Consider the following 26,437-nt stretch of genomic DNA (forward strand, 5'->3'; position numbering starts at 1 on the left):
GGAAAGAATGAGCTGGTTGAGAATTCAGAATTGGAGAAGGTAAATTTAGTAGTTACCCATGTAAATGCTACCATTGTAGAGCAATGTTTTGTAGTCTTTTGCAGTCTTCCTGAGGATACTTACCATGTTTTATTGAATTTTAACGTGCACATTTTTTTTCACATTAAAAAAATCTCTGAAATCAGGGTGTACCTTATAATCAGTGGCATCTGATAATCACATCGGTGTGGATTAAAGTCAGTTTTTCCATATAAGATTTGTGGTTTTGCCTGTAACCTGGGGGCACTACCAGTAACCTGGAGGCACTACCACTTTTCTTCTGCCAGTAACCTGGGGACAGTACCAACCTGAAACTATTTTAAATTATCTTTTGTGTTTGAGTACTTGGACCACCCTAGTGTGAATTCGGATTACAGATTTGTGTGTGTTCTGGCTGGTGGTTCAAATTTGGAGAGGAGATAGCACCTCTCTCCCCCGCACCACTAGTGCCAAGATTGAGAAGACAAATTCCTGTGCTGTTGCTTTCCTTGTAATAGGTTTATTTCCCCTTTACTCTTATACGTTTTTTGTCACAGTCTTCTTATGAGGGTTCCTGTTAGACTATTGGATATTTTTTGTTGTTTTCAGTTATATATGAAAATAATGGTGATAAAAATACTTTTTTTCCTGCTTAACTTTGGTGTCCTTGCTTTTTGGATATATGTTCTTAATTGTATTATTCCTATTCATGGTTTCACAGATATCTTTAATCTCACCCTATCCAAAGGAATTCTAAAGGTAAAATAACACCCTACATTGATAGCTTGGTCCATTAAGTCATTTGTCTTGGGGAAAAGTTGTAGCATAAAGTCATAGTCAGTTTTTGGTTAGGAGGACCTTATAGAAGAGATGAATGAGCATACATACACCCTGGAGTTAGTCCAAGTTTTGGATTCTCTGAAGCTTACCTCTGTAACTTAATCTTTCTGAACTTTAGTTTCCTCATCTAGAGAATGGTTTGTGATATTACTGCTCTGTTAATGTTATTGTGCTCCTTCAATGAGATAGTGTATATAAAGGTCTAGTGTGGGCTCTGGCAGAGATGTGGTGCTGAATAGATGATTTATTTTTTTGATTGATTGTGATTGCCATTATTTTTGGTTTCCTAGGACATCCTCTTCCACCCAGTCCCTCTTCTTATGGAAATATATCTTGTCCAACCATCCCCTCCCACCAACCACGAGAGAGGTGGGCACATTATTCATCCTGGCCAATTTAGATTAATCCTCTAAATATAATGGTAGGTTCACGTCTGAGTGGGCATGTGACCAAAGTCCATCAGAGTCTTTTCCCATCAGGATTGATATACAGGGAATGGGGGAAGAAAACCTCTCTACCGGAATTACAAAGGTTGGATTTAGATCCAAAGCCACTGGCAACTACCATCTAATTCCATATGGAGAAGTCTGCTTAAATAATGAAGCTAAGGAGAAGCTATCAAGGATAAGAGATGGAGGTTGAGGGTTGGGGAGGGCGAAAAAGAGAGGGAGGAGAGAGACAGAGACTGAGGGAGATCCAGTTCCATTTTTTTAGGCTATCCTTCCTATAGCTCTTCTTTCAGAGATATGCCAGTCTCCTTTCCAGCTTTGTGAACTAGTAAATGCTTTTTTTAAAAAAATGTGGTTTAAGTTGGATTTCTGTCACTTGCAGTGAAGAGTTCTGATGAATATGATAATGGTGTTATTTGCCCAAAGAACTTTTCTTGCTCAAAGAACTGCCTATATTGCTTTCTTGCTAACTTGTTAAAGACTAGTATATAATAGGCTATTACATAGAGGATGAATGCCTGGAAAAAGAAATAAAAATTATGATTTTTTTAAGGAAGATCTCTGAGTTTAAGATTTTTTCCATGTCACATTATTATTTCTAGTGATGCTATAGGGATACCGTATTGCAAGTAAACATCTATAGATGTACAAAGAAAATTTGCAGTCTTAATTTTAATTAGAAACCATTTACCACATTTAGAAGCTCTGATTAAAGATATAATGGATAAAAGGGATAAAATTACATTTGCAGTTATTTGTTTTTAATCTTTAATGTCCCTTCTTATATGACTCTCAGATAGAGTGAGCAGGGCCCAACTTGTCTGAAGCTTAAGAGGTGACCCAGAATATAATTGAGAGGACTAGAAAGGTATATTAGACTATTCTTGCATTGCTATAAAGAAATATCTGAGATGGAGTAATTTATAAGAAAAGAAGTTTAATTGGCTTACAGTTCTGCAGGCTGTACAGGAAGCATAGTGCTGGCATCTGCTTCTGGGGAGGCCTCAGGAAGTTTTACTCATGGCGGAAGGTGAAGTGGGAGCAGGCACATCATATGGCCAGAGCAGGAGCAAGAGAGTCTGGTGCGGGAGGTGCCGGACTTTGCAACAATCATATCTCAAGAGAACTCACTCATTATTGCAAGGATAGCACCAAGCCATGAGGAACCCGCCCCCATGACCTAAACCCCTCCCACCAGGTCCCACCTCCAACATTGGGGATTACAATTCAACATGAGATTTGTAGGGGACATCCAAACTATATCAAAGGGCAATGGATCAGTGTCAGCATTCACTGCTGGTAAAAACAGTATTTGTATTCTTAATTTGGTTAGTCTGGATAGGAGCCAAAGATTCACAGCATGGCCGTATTCACTTGGAAGTTTGCAATTTGATTAAGGTTTGAGAACATGTCAGGGAAGGAAAGAATTTCCTTTAAAATCATCCTGCACACTGAATACCTAAAGTAGTACAAATAATTTGTTATGGCCTGAGAAGCTAAGAAAAAATTTAGTCATTCTTCTAAGTCCAAGAATGGCTGTAGGGGATAGTACATGAGTGACTATCCTGTCTACTTCTGTTTTCTGTTTTATTTTGTATATTTTTTAGAAACAGGATCTTTCTCTGTCCCCCACACTGGAGTGCGGTAATGCGATCATAGCTCACTGTAACCTCCAACTCCTGGGCTCAAGCTGTCCTCCTGCCTCAGCCTCCCAAGTAGCTAGGACTACAGACGTGTGCCACCACACCTAGCTAATTTTTTATTTTTTGTAGAGACAGGGTCTTACTATATTGGCTAGGCTGCTCTTGAACTCCTGGCCTCAAGCAATTCTCTTGTCTTGGGCTCCCAAAGCACTGAGATTATAGGAGTGAGCCACCACGCCCAATCCTGTTTTCTTTTTTGAGGTGCGTTAAATATTTACATTTTACCTGGAGTTTGGAAAAGTAGTTTATTTGGACGTACAAGCTTGTTTTTTTTTTTTTTTTTTTTTTTTTTGAGATGGAGTCTTGTCCTGTTGCCTGTGCTGGAGTGCAGTGGCATGATCTTGGCTCACTACAGTCTCCGCCTCGCAGGTTCAAGTGATTCTCCTGCCTCAGCCTCCCGAGTAGCTCGGCTTACAGGTGCACAGCACCACACCCAGCTAATTTTTGTATTTTTAATAGTGACAGGGTTTAACTATGTTGGGCAGGCTGGTCTTGGACTCCTGACCTCAAGTGATCCTCCTGCCTTGGCCTCCCAAAGTGTTGGGATTACAGGCATGAGCCACTGCGCCTGGCCAAGGTGTGTTTTTAAAGTAGAAGTTAATTCTGTGGATTGATTTAACCAATTTTCTTTGCAAGCAATTGTATAGGAGAATTAAATACAAATCCTCCTACTGATGTCAGATTTAGATAATGCCTTAATATGATGTAATATCTTAAATAGTGAACTGTTTGGTTATACCTTGTGCCATGATTTCCTTAATATATCTCATAAAGTTGTACAAAGAATAAGATTGAGATGCTTTACTGTTAGGCACATAGACATTTATGTAACATTCATTTTAAAAAATTTGAATACCAATTATGTGTAAGGTACTAGGATAAACACAAAGGATACAAGAAGTCTTTGCCTTAGGCCAATACATTCTGATAGAGTGTTAAAATAGTTACACAAGTATCTGTTACTCAAAGCATTAATTACATAGGTGTTATATATATTAAGTATATAAACATTATGTATATTAAGTGCCTTGTGCTGAGTATCAACTAAGTGTTTTAAGATCAGAGTCCATTTGGGGTTTGTGATGGTTAATTTTATGTGTGAACCTCACTGGATCACGGGATGACCAGATATTTGGTCAAATATTATTCTGAGTTTCTATGAGAGTGTTTTTGGATGAGATAGATGGATTATGAGTAGAGCAAAAAGGCAGACTCTCCCACATATAAGAGAGAATTCTTTCCTACCTGACTGCCTTCAAACTGGGACATTGGCTTTTTACCTGCCTTTGAACTTGAACTGAAACATTGGCCCTTCCTGGGTCCCAAGCTTGCTGGCCTTCAGATGGAAACTATACTGCCAGCTTTCTTGGTTCTTAATGCTTCAGACTTGGACTGAAACTAAACCATTGGTTCTCCAACTTGCTCCCACAACTCTGCACATGTTAGGTCAGCCTCCACAATCATGTGAACTACTTCCTTATAATAAAAAATCTTTACACACACACACACACACACACACACACACACTCACACACATACTATTGTTTCTGTTTCCCTGGAGAACTGTAATTAATAAAGGGTGACTTGGAAAGGCATCACAGAGGAGGTGGAATTTAAGCCAGAGGCTAAACTATCGTATAAGCAGGATTTCAGTAGATAAAGATGGTGAAGAAAAACACTACAGGCAGAGGAAATAGGGTATGTGATGGAAGCAGTCTCAAGTAGTATAATTTGGCTAGAGTTCAAGATGTTTCTACTGTTTTTTTGCATTTCAGAAGAGTTGTGGGAGAACACCAGTTTTACCACAACCTGGCTAGTACTTGGTGGTAGTGTGGTAGTGGCAGTGGCAGTGCGCGTGTGACTTTTTTTTTAAAAAATGACTGTAGCAGGTTGATTGATGATTGGTTAAAGAGGAAGTCTGCTTTCTCAGCATTCTGGTTAATCTAACCTGAGATCATTTTTCATTACTCTATCATGCTCCAGTCCAGGGGAGGGGAGGGTTATAGTCAGAAAAAAAGACCGTATAAATGTGTATATATATGTGTGTGTCTTGCTATTTGTATTGGTTCTCATAGTTTGCAAAGTGAATATGATGACATTCTTCCCTTGGCCCTATTTTTAGCTTGCTTTTCTCTTAGTGGACCTAAGTTATGAAATAGCAAAGGTTTATATAGCTTTGAAATTCATGTTTTTAGCTGGGCGTGGTGGCAGTGCCTGTCGTCCCAGCTACTCAGGGTATTGAGGCAGGAGGATCATTTGAGCCTGGGAGCTCCAGGCTGCAGTGAGCCATGCCTACACCTCTGCATTCCAGCCTGGGTGACCCAGCTAAACCCTGTCTCAAAAAAAAAAAAAAAAAAAAGAAATACATGTTTTATACCCTCAGATTTAATTGCTTATTTTACATATTTGACCATCCATTTCCTGGGATGACTGATGCCCCAAGATGGTGCCAATGTGGAATGGCAGTACTGTTTAGTAGGACTTTCTCCAGTGTCCAGTGTGGTATCCACCAGCCACACATAGCTATTGAGTCCTTGACATATGGCTAGTGTGGCTGAAAAATGGAATTTTAAGTTTTATTTAATTTTAATTGATTTAAATTTAAATTGTAACATATAGCTAGTGGTTACTGTATGAGACATTGCAGTTCTGGAGCTTAAGAAGTTTTGGCTTGTTTCTAGCTCTCTGGTGTTGAGAAGGGCTGACCAAGCAGTATTTTCACTCATATTTAAAATATAATATCTTAAATATTCTTAAATATTCTATTGGTGATTACACAGCAAATGAATTTTGATATTGCCAATTCTTCAGTAAAATTAGGTATTTATTAATTAATTGTTTATGTTCTGCCTCATTCCAAATAAAGATTGTATGTGAATGATAGGAAATGATCTATTAAAGGTACAATTATTAAAATAATGATAAAAGAAAAAGAGCCATGTAACAAATGAAGTGAGAAGAGAAGCAAGAAAAGGGGAAAAATCAGGTAGCGTGATGCCTCCAGCTTTTTTCTTTTGGCTTAGGATTGACTTGGCGATGCGGGCTCCTTTTTGGTTCCATATGAACTTTAAAGTAGTTTTTTCCAATTCTGTGAAGAAAGTCATTGGTAGCTTGATGGGGATGGCATTGGATCTATAAATTACCTTGGGCAGTATGGCCATTTTCACGATATTGATTCTTCCTACCCATGAGCATGGAATGTTCTTCCATTTGTTTGTATCCTCTTTTATTTCCTTGAGCAGTGGTTTGTAGTTCTCCTTGAAGAGGTCCTTCACGTCCCTTGTAAGTTGGATTCCTAGGTATTTTATTGTCTTTGAAGCAATTGTGAATGGCAGTTCACTCATGATTTGGCTCTCTGTTTGTGTGTTATTGGTGTATAAGAATGCTTGTGTCTTTTGCACATTGATTTTGTATCCTGAGACTTTGCTGAAGTTGCCTATCAGCTTAAGATTTTGGGCTGAGACGATGGGGTTTTCTAAATATACAATCATGTTATCTGCAAACAGAGACTATTTGACTTCCTCTTTTCCTAATTGAACACCCTTTATTTCCTTCTCCTGCCTGATTGCCCTGGCCAGAACTTCCAACGCTATGTTGAATAGGAGTGGTGAGAGAGGGCATTGCGACACTATTAACAGTAGCAAAGACTTGGAACCAAGCCAAATGTCCAACAATGATAGACTGGATTAAGAAAATGTGGCACATAGTGGGAGGAGCCAAGATGGCCGAATAGGAACAGCTCCGGTCTACAGCTCCCAGCGTGAGCGACGCAGAAGACAGGTGATTTCTGCATTTCCATCTGAGGTACCGGGTTCATCTCACTAGGGAGTGCCAGACAGTGGGCGCAGGCCAGTGGGTGTGCGCACCGTGCGCGAGCCGAAGCAGGGCGAGGCATTGCCTCACCTGGGAAGCGCAAGGGGTCAGGGAGTTCCCTTTCCGAGTCAAAGAAAGGGGTGACGGACGCACCTGGAAAATCGGGTCACTCCCACCCGAATACTGCGCTTTTCAGACCAGCTTAAAAAACGGCGCACCACGAGACTATATCCCACACCTGGCTTGGAGGGTGCTACGCCCACGGAATCTCGCTGATTGCTAGCACAGCAGTCTGAGATCAAACTGCAAGGCGGCAGCGAGGCTGGGGGAGGGGAGCCCGCCATTGCCCAGGCTTGCTTAGGTAAACAAAGCAGCCAGGAAGCTCGAACTGGGTGGAGCCCACCACAGCTCAAGGAGGCCTGCCTGCCTCTGTAGGCTCCACCTCTGGGGGCAGGGCACAGACAAACAAAAAGACAGCAGGAACCTCTGCAGACTTAAATGTCCCTGTCTGACAGCTTTGAAGAGAGCAGTGGTTCTCCCAGCACGCAGCTGGAGATCTGAGAACGGGCAGACTACCTCCTCAAGTGGGTCCCTGACCCCTGACCCCCGAGCAGCCTAACTGGGAGGCACCCCCCAGCAGGGGCACACTGACACCTCACACGGCAGGGTATTCCAACAGACCTGCAGCTGAGGGTCCTGTCTGTTAGAAGGAAAACTAACAAACAGAAAGGACATCCACACCAAAAACCCATCTGTACATCACCATCATCAAAGACCAAAAGTAGATAAAACCACAAAGATGGGGAAAAAACAGAACAGAAAAACTGGAAACTCTAAAACGCAGAGCGCCTCTCCTCCTCCAAAGGAACGCAGTTCCTCACCAGCAACGGAACAAAGCTGGATGGAGAATGACTTTGACGAGCTGAGAGAAGAAGGTTTCAGACGATCAAATTACTCTGAGCTACGGGAGGACATTCAAACCAAAGGCAAAGAAGTTGAAAACTTTGAAAAAAATTTAGAAGAATGTATAACTAGAATAACCAATACAGAGAAGTGCTTAAAGGAGCTGATGGAGCTGAAAACCAAGGCTCGAGAACTACGTGAAGAATGCAGAAGCCTCAGGAGCCGATGCGATCAACTGGAAGAAAGGGTATCAGCAATGGAAGATGAAATGAATGAAATGAAGCGAGAAGGGAAGTTTAGAGAAAAAAGAATAAAAAGAAATGAGCAAAGCCTCCAAGAAATATGGGACTATGTGAAAAGACCAAATCTACGTCTGATTGGTGTACCTGAAAGTGAGGGGGAGAATGGAACCAAGTTGGAAAACACTCTGCAGGATATTATCCAGGAGAACTTCCCCAATCTAGCAAGGCAGGCCAACATTCAGATTCAGGAAATACAGAGAACGCCACAAAGATACTCCTCGAGAAGAGCAACTCCAAGACACATAATTGTCAGATTCACCAAAGTTGAAATGAAGGAAAAAATGTTAAGGGCAGCCAGAGAGAAAGGTCGGGTTACCCTCAAAGGGAAGCCCATCAGACTAACAGCGGATCTCTCGGTAGAAACCCTACAAGCCAGAAGAGAGTGGGGGCCAATATTCAACATTCTTAAAGAAAAGAATTTTCAACCCAGAATTTCATATCCAGCCAAAGTAAGCTTCATAAGTGAAGGAGAAATAAAATACTTTACAGACAAGCAAATGCTGAGAGATTTTGTCACCACCAGGCCTGCCCTAAAAGAGCTCCTGAAGGAAGCGCTAAACATGGAAAGGAACAACCGGTACCAGCCACTGCAAAATCATGCCAAAATGTAAAGACCATCGAGACTAGGAAGAAACTGCATCAACTAATGAGCAAAATCACCAGCTAACATCATAATGACAGGATCAAATTCACACATAACAATATTAACTTTAAATGTAAATGGACTAAATGCTCCAATTAAAAGACACAGACTGGCAAGTTGGATAAAGAGTCAAGACCCATCAGTGTGCTGTATTCAGGAAACCCATCTCATGTGCAGAGACACACATAGGCTGAAAATAAAAGGATGGAGGAAGATCTACCAAGCCAATGGAAAACAAAAAAAGGCAGGGGTTGCAATCCTAGTCTCTGATAAAACAGACTTTAAACCAACAAAGATCAAAAGAGACAAAGAAGGCCATTACATAATGGTAAAGGGATCAATTCAACAAGAGGAGCTAACTATCCTAAATATATATGCACCCAATACAGGAGCACCCAGATTCATAAAGCAAGTCCTGAGTGACCTACAAAGAGACTTAGACTCCCACACATTAATAATGGGAGACTTTAACACCCCACTGTCAACATTAGACAGATCAACGAGACAGAAAGTCAACAAGGATACCCAGGAATTGAACTCATCTCTGCACCAAGTGGACCTAATAGACATCTACAGAACTCTCCACCCCAAATCAACAGAATATACGTTTTTTTCAGCACCACACCACACCTATTCCAAAATTGACCACATAGTTGGAAGTAAAGCTCTCCTCAGCAAATGTAAAAGAACAGAAATTATAGCAAACTATCTCTCAGACCACAGTGCAATCAAACTAGAACTCAGGATTAAGAATCTCACTCAAAACCGCTCAACTACATGGAAACTGAACAACCTGCTCCTGAATGACTACTGGGTACATAATGAAATGAAGGCAGAAATAAAGATGTTCTTTGAAACCAACGAGAACAAACACACAACATACCAGAATCTCTGGGACGCATTCAAAGCAGTGTGTAGAGGGAAATTTATAGCACTAAATGCCCACAAGAGAAAGCAGGAAAGATCCAAAATTGACACCCTAACATCACAATTAAAAGAACTAGAAAAGCAAGAGCAAACACATTCAAAAGCTAGCAGAAGGCAAGAAATAACTAAAATCAGAGCAGAACTGAAGGAAATAGAGACACAAAAAACCCTTCAAAAAATCAATGAATCCAGGAGCTGGTTTTTTGAAAGGATCAACAAAATTGATAGACTGCTAGCAAGACTAATAAAGAAAAAAAGAGAGGAGAATCAAATAGACACAATAAAAAATGATAAAGGGGATATCACCACCGATCCCACAGAAATACAAACTACCATCAGAGAATACTACAAACACCTCTACGCAAATAAACTAGAAAATCTAGAAGAAATGGATACATTCCTTGACACATACACTCTCCCAAGACTAAACCAGGAAGAAGTTGAATCTCTGAATAGACCAATAACAGGAGCTGAAATTGTGGCAATAATCTATAGTTTACCAACCAAAAAGAGTCCAGGACCAGATGGATTCACAGCCGAATTCTACCAGAGGTACAAGGAGGAACTGGTACCATTCCTTCTGAAACTATTCCAATCAATAGAAAAAGAGGGAATCCTCCCTAACTCATTTTATGAGGCCAGCATCATTCTGATACCAAAGCTGGGCAGAGACACAACCAAAAAAGAGAATTTTAGACCAATATCCTTGATGAACATTGATGCAAAAATCCTCAATAAAATACTGGCAAACCGAATCCAGCAGCACATCAAAAAGCTTATCCACCATGATCAAGTGGGCTTCATCCCTGGGATGCAAGGCTGGTTCAATATACGCAAATCAATAAATGTAATCCAGCATATAAACAGAGCCAAAGACAAAAACCACATGATTATCTCAATAGATGCAGAAAAAGCCTTTGACAAAATTCAACAACCCTTCATGCTAAAAACTCTCAATAAATTAGGTATTGATGGGACGTATTTCAAAATAATAAGAGCTATCTATGAGAAACCCACAGCCAATATCATACTGAATGGGCAAAAACTGGAAGCATTCCCTTTGAAAACTGGCACAAGACAGGGATGCCCTCTCTCACCGCTCCTATTCAACATAGTGTTGGAAGTTCTGGCCAGGGCAATCAGGCAGGAGAAGGAAATAAAGGGTATTCAATTAGGAAAAGAGGAAGTCAAATTGTCCCTGTTTGCAGACGACATGATTGTTTATCTAGAAAACCCCATCGTCTCAGCCCAAAATCTCCTTAAGCTGATAAGCAACTTCAGCAAAGTCTCAGGATACAAAATCAATGTACAAAAATCACAAGCATTCTTATACACCAACAACAGACAAACAGAGAGCCAAATCATGAGTGAACTCCCATTCACAATTGCTTCAAAGAGAATAAAATACCTAGGAATCCAACTTACAAGGGATGTGAAGGACCTCTTCAAGGAGAACTACAAACCACTGCTCAAGGAAATAAAAGAGGATACAAACAAATGGAAGAACATTCCATGCTCATGGGTAGGAAGAATCAATATCGTGAAAATGGCCATACTGCCCAAGGTAATTTACAGATTCAATGCCATCCCCATCAAGCTACCAATGACTTTCTTCACAGAATTGGAAAAAACTACTTTAAAGTTCATATGGAACCAAAAAAGAGCCCACATCGCCAAGTCAATCCTAAGCCAAAAGAACAAAGCTGGAGGCATCACACTACCTGACTTCAAACTATACTACAAGCCTACAGTAACCAAAACAGCATGGTACTGGTACCAAAACAGAGATATAGATCAATGGAACAGAACAGAGCCCTCAGAAATAACGCCGCATACCTACAACTATCTGATCTTTGACAAACCTGAGAAAAACAAGCAATGGGGAAAGGATTCCCTATTTAATAAATGGTGCTGGGAAAACTGGCTAGCCATATGTAGAAAGCTGAAACTGGATCCCTTCCTTACACCTTATACAAAAATCAATTCAAGATGGATTAAAGATTTAAACGTTAGACCTAAAACCATAAAAACCCTAGAAGAAAACCTAGGCATTACCATTCAGGACATAGGCGTGGGCAAGGACTTCATGTCCAAAACACCAAAAGCAATGGCAACAAAAGCCAAAATTGACAAATGGGATCTAATTAAACTCAAGAGCTTCTGCACAGCAAAAGAGACTACCATCAGAGTGAACAGGCAACCTACAACCTGGGAGAAAATTTTCGCAACCTACTCATCTGACAAAGGGCTAATATCCAGAATCTACAATGAACTCAAACAAATTTACAAGAAAAAAACAAACAACCCCATCAAAAAGTGGGCAAAGGACATGAACAGACACTTCTCAAAAGAAGACATTTATGCAGCCAAAAAATACATGAAAAAATGCTCATCATCACTGGCCATCAGAGAAATGCAAATCAAAACACTATGAGATACCATCTCACACCAGTTAGAATGGCAATCATTAAAAAGTCAGGAAACAGCAGGTGCTGGAGAGGATGTGGAGAAATAGGAACACTTTTACACTGTTGGTGGGACTGTAAACTAGTACAACCATTGTGGAAGTCAGTGTGGCGATTCCTCAGGGATCTAGAACTAGAAATACCATTTGACCCAGCCATCCCATTACTGGGTATATACCCAAAGGACTATAAATCATGCTGCTATAAAGACACATGCACACGTATGTTTATTGTGGCATTATTCACAATAGCAAAGACTTGGAACCGACCCAAATGTCCAACAATGATAGACTGGATGAAGAAAATGTGGCACATATACACCATGGAATACTATGCAGCCATAAAAAAGGATGAGTTCATGTCCTTTCTAGGGACATGGATGAAATTGGAAACCATCATTCTCAGTAAACTATCGCAAGAACAAAAAACCAAACACCGCATATTCTCACTCATAGGTGGGAATTGAACAATGAGATCACATGGTCACAGGAAGGGGAATATCACACTCTGTGGACTGTGGTGCGGGTGGGGGCAGGGGGGAGGGGTAGCATTGGGAGATATACCTAATGCTAGATGACGAGTTAGTGGGTGCAGCACACCAGCATGGCACATGTATACATATGTAACTAACCTGCGCAATGTGCACATGTACCCTAAAACTTAAAGTATAATTAAAAAAAAAAAAAAAGAAAATGTGGCACATATACACCATGGAATACTGTGCAGCCGTAAAAAATGATGAGTTCATGTCCTTTGTAGGGACATGGATGAAGCTGGAAACCAGTCTCAGCAAACTATCGCCAGGACAAAAAACAAAACACCGCATGTTCTCACTCATAGGTGGGAATTAAACAATGAGAACACATGGACACAGGAAGGGGAACATCACACACCAGGGCCTGTTGTGGAATAGGGGGACGGGGGAGGGAATAGCATTAGGAGATATGCCTAATGTTAAATGACGAGTTAATGGGTGCAGCACACCAACATGGCACATGTATACATATGTAACAAACCTGCACGTTGTGCACATGTACCTTAAAACTTAAAGTATAATTAAAAAAAAAAGAAAAGGGGAAAAATCTAGGAAAGTCTAGTCGAGGGTAGCAAAAAATCCATCTGTGTCAACTGGCAGATAGAGTAAAAAAAATAAATCCAATAAAAAAATAACATTTTTATGTAATGAGACATGCCATTGAGTCAAGAGAGAAACTTTTTCCAAAGACGAAACAAGGAGAAATTTATTCCGTTTTGTAAGATTTGTTGAGTAGTATAGTGGACGGCATCGTTTAATAGCAATTTTACAAATAATAGAGACATTTTTATCATATATTTACATCAAATCTTGGTAAAAAGTTTTTTGAAGAGCTAAAGCCTGCCAATAACCATGTGAGCGAGCTGAGAAGCAGATTCTGCAGAGCTAGTTTAGTCTTGAGATGACTGCAGTCCTGGCTGACAGTTTGATTATAACCTCATGAGAGAACTTGAACCAGAGGCACTCAGCTAAGCCACTTTCAGATTCTTGACCCACAGAAACTGAGATAAAAAATGTTTGTTGTTTTAAGCTGCTTAGTTTTGGGGTAATTTTTTTATGTAGAAGAAGCTAACTATGTTATGATATTTTTTTTAGAATGGAGGTGCTTGGTGTTAAATGATAAATAGATACAGCTTTCTAAACCTTCAAATCTTATTTATGAAAGTACATTTATAGCCTTATATGTTTGAGGGTGTAAATATAGTTAGGAAAAATGTTGAAATTAAGTATTTTCACTAGCCATCCTAAATGGCATCTGGCCATTTGAATGAATGAAAAATAGCTAATAACAATAGATAACATGTATTGAACTCTTTCTCTGTTTCAGAAACTATCCTAAGCATGTTATGGACATTGTATCATTTAGTCCTTACAGAATTGTATTGAGTACTTCAGACTTTAAAACCAAATCACTTTGACTCCAATTTAGCCATTGTACTAACCATACTGTGATCAGGTAACTTCTGAGGTATAGAAATTCATGTGTTAAACATCTGAGGGATTCTTAAATTTTGATGGATGCTGGAGATATAGTGGTGAGCAAAGGGAGACAGAACCTCAGATCTCATGCCACTTACAACATTTTGAAGTACATAGACATTAATACAATAAATACATATTTACAGACTGAGGTCAGTACTATGAAGATGAGTTCTGAGATCCTTTAATAAAAGCAAGTTTCTGGTCCAGGCACAGTGGCTCATGCCTGTAATTCTAGCAATTTTGGAGGCTAAGGTGGGAGGATCGCCTGAGGCCAGGAGTTTGAGACCAGCCTGGGCAATATAGTGAGACCCTGCTGCTACACAAATTTAAAAAAAAACCCATTAGCTGGGAATGATGATGCACACCTCTAGTCCTAGCTACTCAGGAGGCTGAGGCAGGAGGATCGTTTGGGCCCAGGAGTTTAAGGCTACAAGTGAGCTATGATTGGGCCACTGTACTCCAGCCTGGGCAATAGAGTGAGACTCCATCTCAAAAAAAAAAACAAAAACCAGTAAAAGCAAGTTTTTATTGTTGAAGAGCAATGGTATGCTTACAAACTGAAAGAAGGGCAACAAGGTTATAGCACAGAAAACAAAAAGAAGAGTGGTGTGAGATTAGGCTGGAAAGATATGCATGGGCCAGACTAGCAAGGCCTTGGAAGGTGATGTTTTATTCTACTTCCTAAGGGAAGCTATCGAAAAGTTTTTAACAGATATTATGTTAAGGTTTTCTTTTTGGAAATATCATTGTAGTTAAAATATGGACATTGTAGACATGCCATAGTGGCTATGGGGAGACTCTTAGGAAGCTGTTGAAATAACCAAACAAAAAAGATGGACTAAGGTATTGGCAAAAGTTTTTTCAGAAATGGAGAGAAATAGACTTGAAAGATGGTTACAGGATAAAATCAACAGGACTTGGTGAGAAAATTGATTACCAGGGGGTTGGGGAGAAGGCATTGTTAAGAATGGTGAAAAGATTTCCTACTTGCCTATCTGTGTGTATGATGATGCTATTTATTAAGGGTACAGAACATTAATAGGAAGGGGGACACATTTGGTGGTAAAACTCATTAGTTAGCTTTTGCCGAATTTGAGATATGTTTGAGACATCCAAGTTTGGAATGTTGAGAAAGATGTACAGGTTGAACATCCCTAATCTGAAAATCCAAAATCAGAAATGCTCCAAAATCTGAAGCTTTTTGAATGCCTATAAGATGCTTGAAGGTCATGCTCAAAGGAAATGCTCATTTGGAGCATTTCAGATTTTGGATATTTGGATTAGCGTTGCTCAGCCAGTGTAATGGAATTATGTTATTCTAAATTCTGAAATATGAAACACTTCTGATCTCAAGCATTTCAGATCAGGATACTCAACCTGTATTAGATTGGATCACACAGAACTCCAGGCCAGAGATAAGAATGTTCAAGGAATGGGCAAATATATGGTAATTGATGTAATGGTTAAGAATGCCTTGTGAGAGGGAGTGAGAAGAGAAGAAGGCCTAGAAGTTGAGGAACTCCAATATTAACTGGCCAAACTGAAGAGGATAACCTACAAAGGATATAGTAGAAGGATTCTTTCACTCATTTATTTATTTATTCAACAGATATTTATCAAGTGCCTATTATATACCAGGCACAAATATGGAATCCAGGGATATAGCAGGGATAAGATAGTCAAGATCTTTGCTGTCATGGAACCTAAACTGTAGTAGAAAGTACGTAAATAAACATAAATACTTTAGATAGGTACAGGTACTAAAAGGAAATAGAAAAGGATTATGTGACTGAGGAAGGGAAGACTAGAAGAGGAACAAGGCTTTTGAGGAAAATCAAGAACTTCCTTCTTTTTAGCCATGCTACTTTTGAGGTATCTATATCCAAATCCAAGTGATTAATAGGGGCTGCTGCATGCTAGTAAATAGCACCACCATTCACCCAAATTGGCAGGCTCAAACTTCCAGCAGCTTTTTTCTTTCTTTCGTTCTTTCTTTCTCTTTCTTTTTCTTTCTTTCTTTTTCTTTCTTTCTTTCTTTCTCTTTCTTTCTTTCTTTCTTTTTCTTTCTTTCTTTCTTTCTTCTTTCTCCTCTCTCTTTCTCCTTTCTTCCTTCCTTCCTTCCTTGCTTCCTTCTTTCTCTTTTTCTTTTCCCTTCCTTCCTTCCTTCCCTCCCTCCACCCCTCCCTCCTTTCCTCCCTCTGTCCCCCTTTCCCTTTCCCTCCCCCTCCCCCTTCCCTTCCCCCTCCTTCTCCCCTTCCCTTCCCCTCCCCTCCCCTCTCCCTCCTCCTGCCTATTCTCTCCCCTCTCCCTCCCTCCCCCTTCCCTCCCCTCCCCTCTCCTGTTCTCTCCTCTCCTTTCCTTTCCTTTTTCTCTCTCTCTTTCTTATACTCCATATTCAGTCCATTAGCAGCTCCTGACTACTCCATCTTTAACATTTGTGCTCAATATGATTACTTCAATTATATGCACTATTTCTTTACTCTAAGCCACCATTTTCTCTTGCCTAGACTATTGGAGTAACCTCTGTTCTGATCTCCCAGCTTCCAATCTTGTCCCCATATAATCTGGTATTCACATTGCAGCCCGAATGATCTTTTAAAAACCAAAATTCTTTGATCATATGCTCCAGTTGTTTCCTATAATATCGACACAGTTTACCATGGCAATAATGCTCTATATGATCTAGTCACTTTTTTGACTGCATTTTGGAATGCTCTTTCCCTCTACTTCAGCTTCACTGGCCAAGACTCCGCTATTCCTTGAAGATATCAGTATTATTCCAGACTTCAGGGCATTTGCATTTGCTGTTTTTTCACTTGGAATGCTCTTCCCCCATATTTTCACTTAGCTTGCTCCCTCACTTCATACCAGTCTCTGTTCAGCTGTGATCTTATGAAAGAGGTTTTCCCTGACCACCCTATATAAATAAGCCTTCTTTGACACCTGCCTATCATTCTGTATTCCCTTAGCCCATTTTTATTTTTCTTCATTTCACTTATCATCTAATATGTTCTTGTTTATTATTTTTTCTTTCCCTCTAGAATGCAAAGACCTTGTCTGTCTTATTAATGTCTGCATCCCAACAGCCAAGAATAATGCCTGGTATATAATATGTGGGTTCCATAAACATTTTTTTTTAGTGAATGAATGAATGAATATATAAGTCTGGAGCTCAGAGGAGATTTCAGTGCTGAAATGTAAATTTAGTAGTCAATAGCATATAAATGGTCATTTACACTGTAGGACTGGATGAAATTATCAAGAGATAGTATGGAGCCAAACCAGAAAAGGGACCCAGATTCAAGCCTTTCGCTGATTTTTCATTTATAAATCAGATTAGAAGGACCCAACAAGTTAGGAGGAAAACCAGGAGAGACATATCATTGAAACTAAGAGAGGAAATGTTCTAAGGACACAGCTTTGTTGGATAATGCTTACAGGCTGGATTAAGATGTGTTTGTAAATTAACCATTGGATTTGCAAAGATGAAGATTGTTTTGTGGCTTTTAAGAGTTATTTCAGTGGAGTGGTTGGGGTAGAAATCAGACTGGAGTATGACAGGTGAGGTAGGGAGAGTGAAGTAGACTCCTTTGAGAAGTCTTGCTGTGAAGAACAGAGAATTGAATGATCATTGAACGGAGGAAATGTAATCAAGGAAGGACTTAAGTATTCCCCCAGAGTTTTCTGAATTTGCAATTCATTCATCTTGATTATCTCCCCTTGAGGTCTAGCTGTCATCAGTTAACTGGAGGATTGATTCATAATCCCTTTTTGCAAGGTGGCAAAGCTTACCTTTCTCCTCAAACCTATCTACCAAAGTTCTCTTTCTTCTTTAATTTCATTAGAGTCCTTGGTAAATGATTCACATTTCTTTTTGTTATAACTCTTCAGTAAATTAAGCCTTTGCCTTTCTTGCTGATTTTACCGTATTATATAACTATCATAGATGATTTCAAATGTTAATAGTGATAGAAACTGTAATAATATAATACTAACATGTATTGATATTTACTATGTGGGGTCTTTTGAAGAAATTTACATTTTTTTAACTTAATATTCAAAACAACCATGGGAGGCAGGTGCTATTATTATCCTCAGTAGAGGATCTAAGGATCTGAGGTTCAGAGGGCTTAGGTAATTTCCTCAAGATCATATAGTTCATAAGTGGCTACAGGTATGATTGTAGAGCTTTTGCTGTTAGCCACCATGCTATTCTGTCTTTAAGTTAACAAAGTAAATGTTTCATCTTCTAATTATGTTAAACTAATATGCCTTTGGTGAATTGTTTTGGTAAAGTTAATACTTCTTTTTCTCCACTTTTATATCTGTTATGTGAATTTATGTCTTAGACTGGATTATTGGTAACTCTATTATTTTTACAATAATCAAATGTTAGGGCTAGATGGGACATTTAATTACATAATGAATGGAATAAAAATCTGCTAATCAGATAGATCTGTTTTCTAAACTGCATTTTTTCTCCTTTGTCTTTTTTGGCCTACCCTGTTGGCTGTGAACTTTATTTTAAAATTCATTTGTGCTTATAACAATAATAAGCACTATTTATTCCTTGAGTGGTTTTACAAACCTTACAAGGCTTACCATTTCCAGAGTGTCAGAGTAGCTATAGCAGGTTTACACTTAAATATACTCTTGGTTTTATGACATTCCATTTTGACAGTGATGAAGAGCATGCTTATAGGCATCGTTGAAAAGGAATGTTAGAACTGTTTATGTGATAGTTCTACAAGTTTCTTACATTTATCTATTATAGAAAGATCTATCATACATGCTTACTTTTCACAGAGTTTATAATATATGCATATGTTTTAATGGTTTGTTATAAATAATATGATTAGCTGGCAAAAGCTTTTAGCAATTTAAATTTTGGGGTTATTTTAAATTATGAATTTAAACAAGCTCTTTCATTTCAGGTGGTTGGCTAAACCCACTGTGGCTGATAGTGTTATATAAAGTTGTTTTCTAGTTTTGAAAAGCTAAAAGTTTATGTTTTTATGCTTTCTGTGAAAGTCACTAATACTTGTAACCTAATGAAAATGTTTCTACTGCTACAATTGTGGAGAAATTTTGAAAACCTAGATTTAGTCAGTATTTTTCATGCTAACATTGTAAAGAATGTCAGAGGCCATGGAGAGGATCTAAGGGAATCAGAGAAAAGGAAGAGGAAGTAACATTTTTAGAGTACATTTTATGTTCTAGGCAACTCAGTAATAGGGCAGTATATCATTTCATTCTCACAGAAGTCTTTCGAGGTATTATAATTTCCCTTTTACAGATGAGGAAACTGAGGTTGCAGAGGTTAATTATGTTGATAAAGATCATATAGATAAGTAGAACTAGGATTGAAATCTAGATCTACTTGATACTTAAGCTTCCTCTTACACTTGTTTTATGGAGTTGTTCTTGGGCCTTCTTAAACAGGTAATTATTCTATGTCATAGCAGAATTCTTGATAGAATTATGATATTTAAATTTTTATTTACTCAGCTATCATAAACATAAAAATACTATACTACTATATAAGCTTGCAGGTCTTTTGAATATAAAAACTAAACTGCATGTTGACTCATTTATCAGAGTTCTGTAGAATAATTAAAAGTAATTATAGGAGGTCTTTTTTAAGTGTATGTAGTCATTTGTATTATTTGAAAGCTTAGACAGCTTTTATAGCAGTTTGCTTCCAGACCATGCTCATTGATGCATTGAAGAGATACCCGTGAACCACCTTGTCTACTCCCATACAGCTGATTTATCTTTGTAGCAGTCCCTGAGTTAGAGAATCTTCCCTACTACCTCTGCTATAGTTTTCAGTAAATTGGGCAAGATCAAATGTTTCCTGGAGATAATTTCCTTAGCTCTTGTATTAGATCCCAACAGTAAATACATTATTGACTGATGTGAACACAGAAAGCATCTCAAACTTTTTGTTGATCAGAGCATAGCTCAGTTGTTTTAGGAATTCCAGATAAAATGACAGTAATGTATTGTGATTATTTCCTTCTTTTGAAATGAACTTGAATATACTTTTATGTTTATTTGTAAAATAACATTTCAAAGATCACATTGTGCTTATTTTTACAGTGGCCTCTGGCTGAAAGCAATAAAGTTCTGTCCTGGGTGGAACTAGGCTAGTTGCAGTTTCTCAAATTTCTTCAATGAGATGCTTTGCTTTTGTGAAAATAAGTCATATTGTCCACTGCCACCTTTGTTTACTTCTCCATTTTATCCCCTCTTGGTTACAGAAATTAGCTACTACAAATAAAATGCCAAGATTTTATAATTTTCTATGTTTAAATTTGCAAGTAAAAAGTTCTGTTGAAACATTTGTAAGATCAAACTAATGTGAGATAAATATGACTGATATTCAGAAGTTGATTAATCTAACTTTCAGTACTGTACCTATTACATAAAGTATGATTAATCTCTATGTGCAAGTATATAAACAAATTTTGAGTATAAAATCATAATCTAAAATTTTGTTTTATATTTAATGGAGTGTTCAAATACTTTGTAATAAAAACAATGGATGACTAAAATGATTGAATAAGTTATCAAATAGAGCTTTGTAAACTAGGGTTCATAGTTGCAAATAATAGAAATCAACTCTGGATATTTTAAGAACTAAAAAAAAAATTGAAACGTTACTGAGAAGCTTACAGAATCACTGAGAGGGTTGTAGAACTAGGCTCAATAAAAGGATCAGAATAGGAGAGGTTAGGCAGCAAATAGGACCACAACCAAAATCACAGCACATCAGTCTGGTGAATACATGCATGGCTACCACCAAAAATGAACACTCACTTGCCCCTCACGTTAGCCAATGAATGCTGTCTCTTCCACTGCTATCTAAGAACCTCGATGTTGCTACCATCAGTTTCCAGAATGGATTCTCTGATACTCCCCTCTGCATCATTATCTCCCAGTTTAAAGATGGGTGTTTCTGAGTAGCTGACCTAAGGTCACATACTAATACTGTAACTACAAGAATAGTTGGGAAAGTGAGGATTGGATATTTTCAGATTGTGTGGAGAACTAAGCTCTGTGGTCTATCAACACTCCTCAGGTAGGTAATTTCTAAGTGTAGGAAAGTTCAGATGTTGGGTGGCCAAAAATGTACAGATATCCACTACATTTCCTTGTGATAGCATCTAAGTTCTTTCCATTTCATTCTTTTATAAATTCTTTTAACATTATTGTTGCATAAGAGAAAAAGGCATAAATTATTTTAAAATTTTAGATTCAGAGACTTGGTTGGACACATGATATTACTCTGGATGTTCTTAGACGTTTCAGGCCATTTCAACCTTATTTTAGTTATTACTTTAACAAGTTTCTGCAAAGTTGTGGTTGTATTAATAGCAAACATACTAATAGTGCTATTTGAGCATTATCAGATATCATAAACATAGTATTCTATCCCTTCTTCTGAAAGATATATCAACATTTCCCTAGATATATCCTTATCTTTGTACTCACTTTGGAGAATGAGCTCTAAAAGTATAATGGAAGGAACAAAAACTTTAGAGCCAGATTTGGGATCAGATGTGACCTCTGTCACTCTGTCATCATCATTTGGTATCTAACATTAGCAGTTATTCTCATTTTAGATATGATAAAACTGAATCATAGAGAGGTTAAGTAGCTCAAGACTTTTAAATTAAACATGAACGATTAAACATTAAAAAGTATCCAGAAAAATTAACTTACTTTTTTTCTAAATGTAGTATAAATATTTTTAGTGCATCTCAAGTATGCAGTGACTTAGATACCCATATTCCAATTACAGATGTCTAATTTTTTAACTTACATACAGGAACAGGTAATCATGTTAGATCAGTTTGTCTCAGTTCCTTGTGTTTTATGTTTAGAATGTTGGGGATATTTTGTTCATATTCTAAATAACTATTTGTTATACCCTTCCACCATCATTTAATATGTTAAAGTTTTAAAGCATTTTACTTTGATTTTTTTTTTTTTTTTTTTTTGAGACAGAGTCTTGCTCTGTTGCCCAGGCTGGAGTGCAGTGGCACTATCTCGGCTCACTGCAAGTTCCGCGTCCCGAGTTCACGCCATTCTCCTGCCTCAGCCTCCCGAGTAGCTGGGACTGCAGGTGCCCGCCACCACACCCGGCTACTTTTTTGTATTTTTAGTAGAGACGGGGTTTCATCGTGTTAGCCAGGATGGTCTCGATCTCCTGACCTCGTGATCTGCCCACTTCAGCCTCCCAAAGTGCTGAGATTACAGGTGTGAGCCACCACGCCTGGCCTTTACTTTGATTTTTTAACCTTACAACACCCCTTGTACTTGTATAATGTCATTTTTACAGATGTGGGAAATTAGGAATATAGATTAAAAATGACATAGTTATAAGGCTATAGTTTAGTTCTCACAGAGAAACTCAGTCATATAAGTTAAGCGTTTTTGTTCCCAAATGATAGTCATAGTAGTAAAAGAAATTTTTAAATTTCACTTATTTATTCAGAAAGTGCTTACTGAGCGCCTAGTGTGTTCTGTGCACTGACTTAAGTGCTGGAGATACCTAAGTAAATCAGACGATTTCTGCTGTCATGGAGCTTATACACTTATAGAGGGAAGTAGAAAATAAATGTAAAAAATATTTTCACCTTTTGATAAGTAAGTGCTGTGGAGGAAAATTAAGCAAGGAAGGGTAAAGGGGAATTCTAGGGGTTAGGAAAGGGGAGTTATAATTTTAAACAGAATTATTGAGGAAGACATCACTAGGAAGGTGACATCTGAGCAACAAAAGACCTAAAGGAGGTATGGGAAGGAGACATGCGGATGTCTTGGAGAAGAACATTATAGGTAGAGAGAAGAGCGAAAGTCCAAGGCCCTGAGAATGCAGCATGTCTGACACGTTCAAGGTGAGGCAAGGTGCAGGTGGGGGGCAGTATGTTGAAAGCAAGGTAAGCAAAGGGAAGAGTAAAAGGAAATGAGATGAAAATAATGAAAAAGCATACGAAAGCAAGTGATTTTTTCTTGGGTCTAGATTTCATACTGGTACCTAACTTTGCTTAATTTTTCTGTTGTTAATAGGAGCTGTTAATGCCCAGTCAATATATCAGAGAATGGAGTTTGAGCAACTATAGTTTAATGAGGCAATTAAATTGAGAACCGTGGCTTTAGACTAGTTCAATATGAAGAACAGATTAAATGTACTCTGAGGAACTGCCTTTTAATTATAGATTTTTGAGATTCATTTTAGTGTCATTTTTTTCATGGTTAAACAACATGGAGAGGAAAGTAATGATCTTATAAAATAGAAGTGTTCAAGATAACTTACTAGGATGGATCATCTGTGTTTGCCAAATCAAACAGGGCAATTTAAAATACAGTTGTTCCTTGGTATACATGGGAGATTGGTTCCAGGACTCTTGAGTATATCCAAATCTGCACATACTCAGGTCCTACATTAGACCCTGCAGAACCCACGTATACAAGTTTCACATCCTGAACTTACTGTATTTTCAGCCCGTGTTTGGTTGAAGAAAAGCCATGTATATAAGTGGACTTCTACAGTTCAAACCTGTGTTGTTCAAGAGTCAACTGTGTATCAGGTTAGCATATAAACCTGTTTTGTTTTGCCTACCATAAAACACTGATCTTTAGATTGATACAATTGCTGTTTTATTCATTGGTTCATATACACCTAATGAGATTGCTATTTTAATTTTCATTGTTAAGACACACTTAAATTCCTAATACTTAAAAACGTATATGAAAAATTTATTTTCACAAATCGATATACCTATTTTTTGAACAGTAGTATGCATATTGCTTTACAAAATGACAGTGTAAAAATGGCATTCAGATTCCCGTTTCTAAGATGCTTGAACATTTTGATTTTTACTCATTAGAAGTTTAATTGTTATTAGTCAACAAGGAGAAACAATGAGGAACTTACAGAGGAGTGTCAGTTGTATTGAAAGATTAGGAGTGAATGTTTTATCTTGTAAAAAGATATCTCAGCCCCTAGGATGGTCTACAGAAATGACAATAAGCTCCGATTCTTATTTTAATTTTTTATTTTTTCTGTTTCTCTGTCTCCTGTCTTTTCCTGCGCATTCTCTCTTTTACTCCCAACCTCTCTTGTTTATTTCTTTGGATCCGTCAAAGTTGGAAATTGAACAGTATTTCTGATATATTATGTAGTATGAGTTCTGAAATCTTGGTGAATTAAATTCATGAATGCTACCATAGTGATTTTATTAAGGTGTGGCTTTTGATTACATGTTCTTCAAGCTAGGGTTATGGGAGTCAGCTAGTAGGTAGGCTTAGTTTGATTGTCCTACTTTAACATTTGTTTTTCCTTCTTGAAATAACTTTCATGAAGTTAGATACAGGCTTTTGTACAGGATCATTTTGTGGGAAATGGTGGGTCTGAAAAGTAAGCCATTGGTATTGATAAAAGCAGAGAGAAAATGAAAAAGAAAAAAGGTAGGAAAGATGTGCCTTTTAGCCAATAAATAGAAGTTTAAAAGACATGAAAGAATGAGATGTAATTTTTTTAGGAGCTCTAATTTAGCCATGAACACAGCCACCATTACTCTGCAGAAAGGGAAAAAAAGGGGATTCTGTTTCAGAATTTGCTGTATTAAAAACTATTTGAGAAAGAGAACACTTTATTGAAAATTGAAAATTATTGGCTAACATTCAGTGTGAGGGTATGTCGAAGTACCATCCGACTAAAAACAAATTAAGTGTAGTCGTGAGTCAAACATATTGTTTCTTCCAAAATTTAAATTAAATTAGTTTCATATGAGTGTTTTCTTTTTTTCTTGAGACAGGGTCTTGATCTGCTGCCCAGGCTGGAGTGCAGTGGCATGATCACAGCTCACTGTAGCTTTGGCCTCCCAGGCTCAAGTGATCCTCCCACTTCAGCCTCCTGAGTAGCTGTTACTACAGGCATATGCCACTACACTTGGCTAATTTTTAATTTTTTTGTACAATTGGGGGTCCCACTGTGTTTCCCAGGCTGGTCTGGAACTCCTGGGCTCAAGCGCCTCCAGCCTCCAGCTCCCAAAGTGCTGGGTTTACAGGCATGAGCCACTGCACCCAGCCAATTTTATGTGTTGATAACAATCTTGCTGAACTTACTGTTTCTTATAACTTATAGGTTGTTCTTCTTGGGATTACCAAGTAAATGTCCTTTGCAGTAGTGACACTTTTTCTTTCTTTTCAATCTAAGATTTTGCTTTTTTCTCTGATTGTGTAAAGTTAGCACTTCTAAAACAATACTCTCAGCATGTATTGCATGATTACATACTTTTTCTTCTTATATTAATAATATGAAGTATATTAATTGAATGCTCAATATTGAATTAATCTTGAACTTCTGGAATATGTCATATAATTCTATTCTTTTAAATGAGTTATTATGAAAAATTTTAACCATACAGAAAAGTTGAAATTTATTCGGTGGAAATCTGTATATCCTCTGTCTTAATTTAACAATTAACATTTTGCTATATCTCCTCTTTTTTTTTGTTAGACCACTTGAAGCTGTTTTTGAGAATACAGATTCCAATACAACCACAAAAACCTTACCACATCTAAGAAAATTAATACTGATTCTATCTTATGTAATATCTGTTCTTTATTTAAGTTTCCCGAAATATCCCCAAAATATCTTTTATAGCTTTCATTTTTTTCCAAACCAGGCAAGGTTTATACATTCATTGCATGCGGTTATGTCTCTTTCATCTCTTTCAATCTAGAATAGCCCACCCCATCATCTTTTCTTCTGTTGGACAGTTATACTAATATGCAGAGATGATGTCATATTTTTCACTACAGAAAAAGCACTCATAAATATGTATAAATGTATATCGATCATAATGCTTGAGAAGGAATGGGCATTGGACCCATACCTCTGCACTCTGGCTTGAAGGAAGATGAAAAGTTTCTAGATACAACAGAGGAAATGATAATATAGAGAAGTCCAGGAGGTACAAAGTCTGTGTGACAAAGATAGAAAGTAGAGGAATGTGATACAAAGGGAGAAATAAAACCTTTGAATCTTGGAGCTATATAATAAATGTTAAGATTCTTCATACTGAGGTTGTGAAGCAGGACAATAGTGAAGAGGAATACTGAAGAAATTATAGGAGTTTTAAAAATGATTACAAGATATATCCTATATAGAGAGAATATTACAATTTCTGGTGAAAACTATCAAATATAAGGGGATATTCTCCAGAACGAAAAGGTGAAAGAAAACACCTCATTGGCACTATGTAGAAGAAATGGGTTGTAATTATCCACCACTGCACCTGCCAGCCACGAATGGCTGTTTAAACTTCAGTTAAACTAGTTAAA

General features: G+C 37.9%; 1 protein-coding gene across 11 annotated transcripts in view, besides 3 other annotated features; it reads left to right on the forward strand.

The window, feature by feature from the left end:
- The window catches only part of PDE3B (phosphodiesterase 3B), a 255,518-nt gene that overhangs the window by 65,387 nt on the left and 163,694 nt on the right, over positions 1-26,437 (forward strand). Inside the window, exon 2 of one of the 11 annotated variants that reach the window (NR_190766.1) lies at positions 23,591-23,676. The exons of the other annotated variants lie outside the window; for them this stretch is intronic. The gene's annotated coding sequence lies outside the window, so the exon portion shown is untranslated. The remainder of the gene's footprint in view (positions 1-23,590; positions 23,677-26,437) is intronic. 11 annotated transcript variants of the gene reach the window in all.
- Positions 6,401-6,987: an enhancer, noted in NCBI's record as "NANOG-H3K27ac-H3K4me1 hESC enhancer chr11:14737137-14737723 (GRCh37/hg19 assembly coordinates)". NCBI's record gives its function as "activates a minimal SCP1, AML or CMV promoter by ChIP-STARR-seq in naive H9 embryonic stem cells {active_cell/tissue: H9 hESC(naive)}" and the evidence as "EXISTENCE:reporter gene assay evidence [ECO:0000049][PMID:30033119]".
- Positions 6,988-7,573: an enhancer, noted in NCBI's record as "NANOG-H3K27ac-H3K4me1 hESC enhancer chr11:14737724-14738309 (GRCh37/hg19 assembly coordinates)". NCBI's record gives its function as "activates a minimal SCP1, AML or CMV promoter by ChIP-STARR-seq in naive H9 embryonic stem cells {active_cell/tissue: H9 hESC(naive)}" and the evidence as "EXISTENCE:reporter gene assay evidence [ECO:0000049][PMID:30033119]".
- Positions 17,481-18,044: an enhancer, noted in NCBI's record as "OCT4-NANOG hESC enhancer chr11:14748217-14748780 (GRCh37/hg19 assembly coordinates)". NCBI's record gives its function as "activates a minimal SCP1, AML or CMV promoter by ChIP-STARR-seq in naive H9 embryonic stem cells {active_cell/tissue: H9 hESC(naive)}" and the evidence as "EXISTENCE:reporter gene assay evidence [ECO:0000049][PMID:30033119]".

This window comes from Homo sapiens, chromosome 11 (assembly GCF_000001405.40).
Source record: "Homo sapiens chromosome 11, GRCh38.p14 Primary Assembly".
NCBI classification, from domain to species: Eukaryota; Metazoa; Chordata; class Mammalia; order Primates; family Hominidae; genus Homo; species Homo sapiens.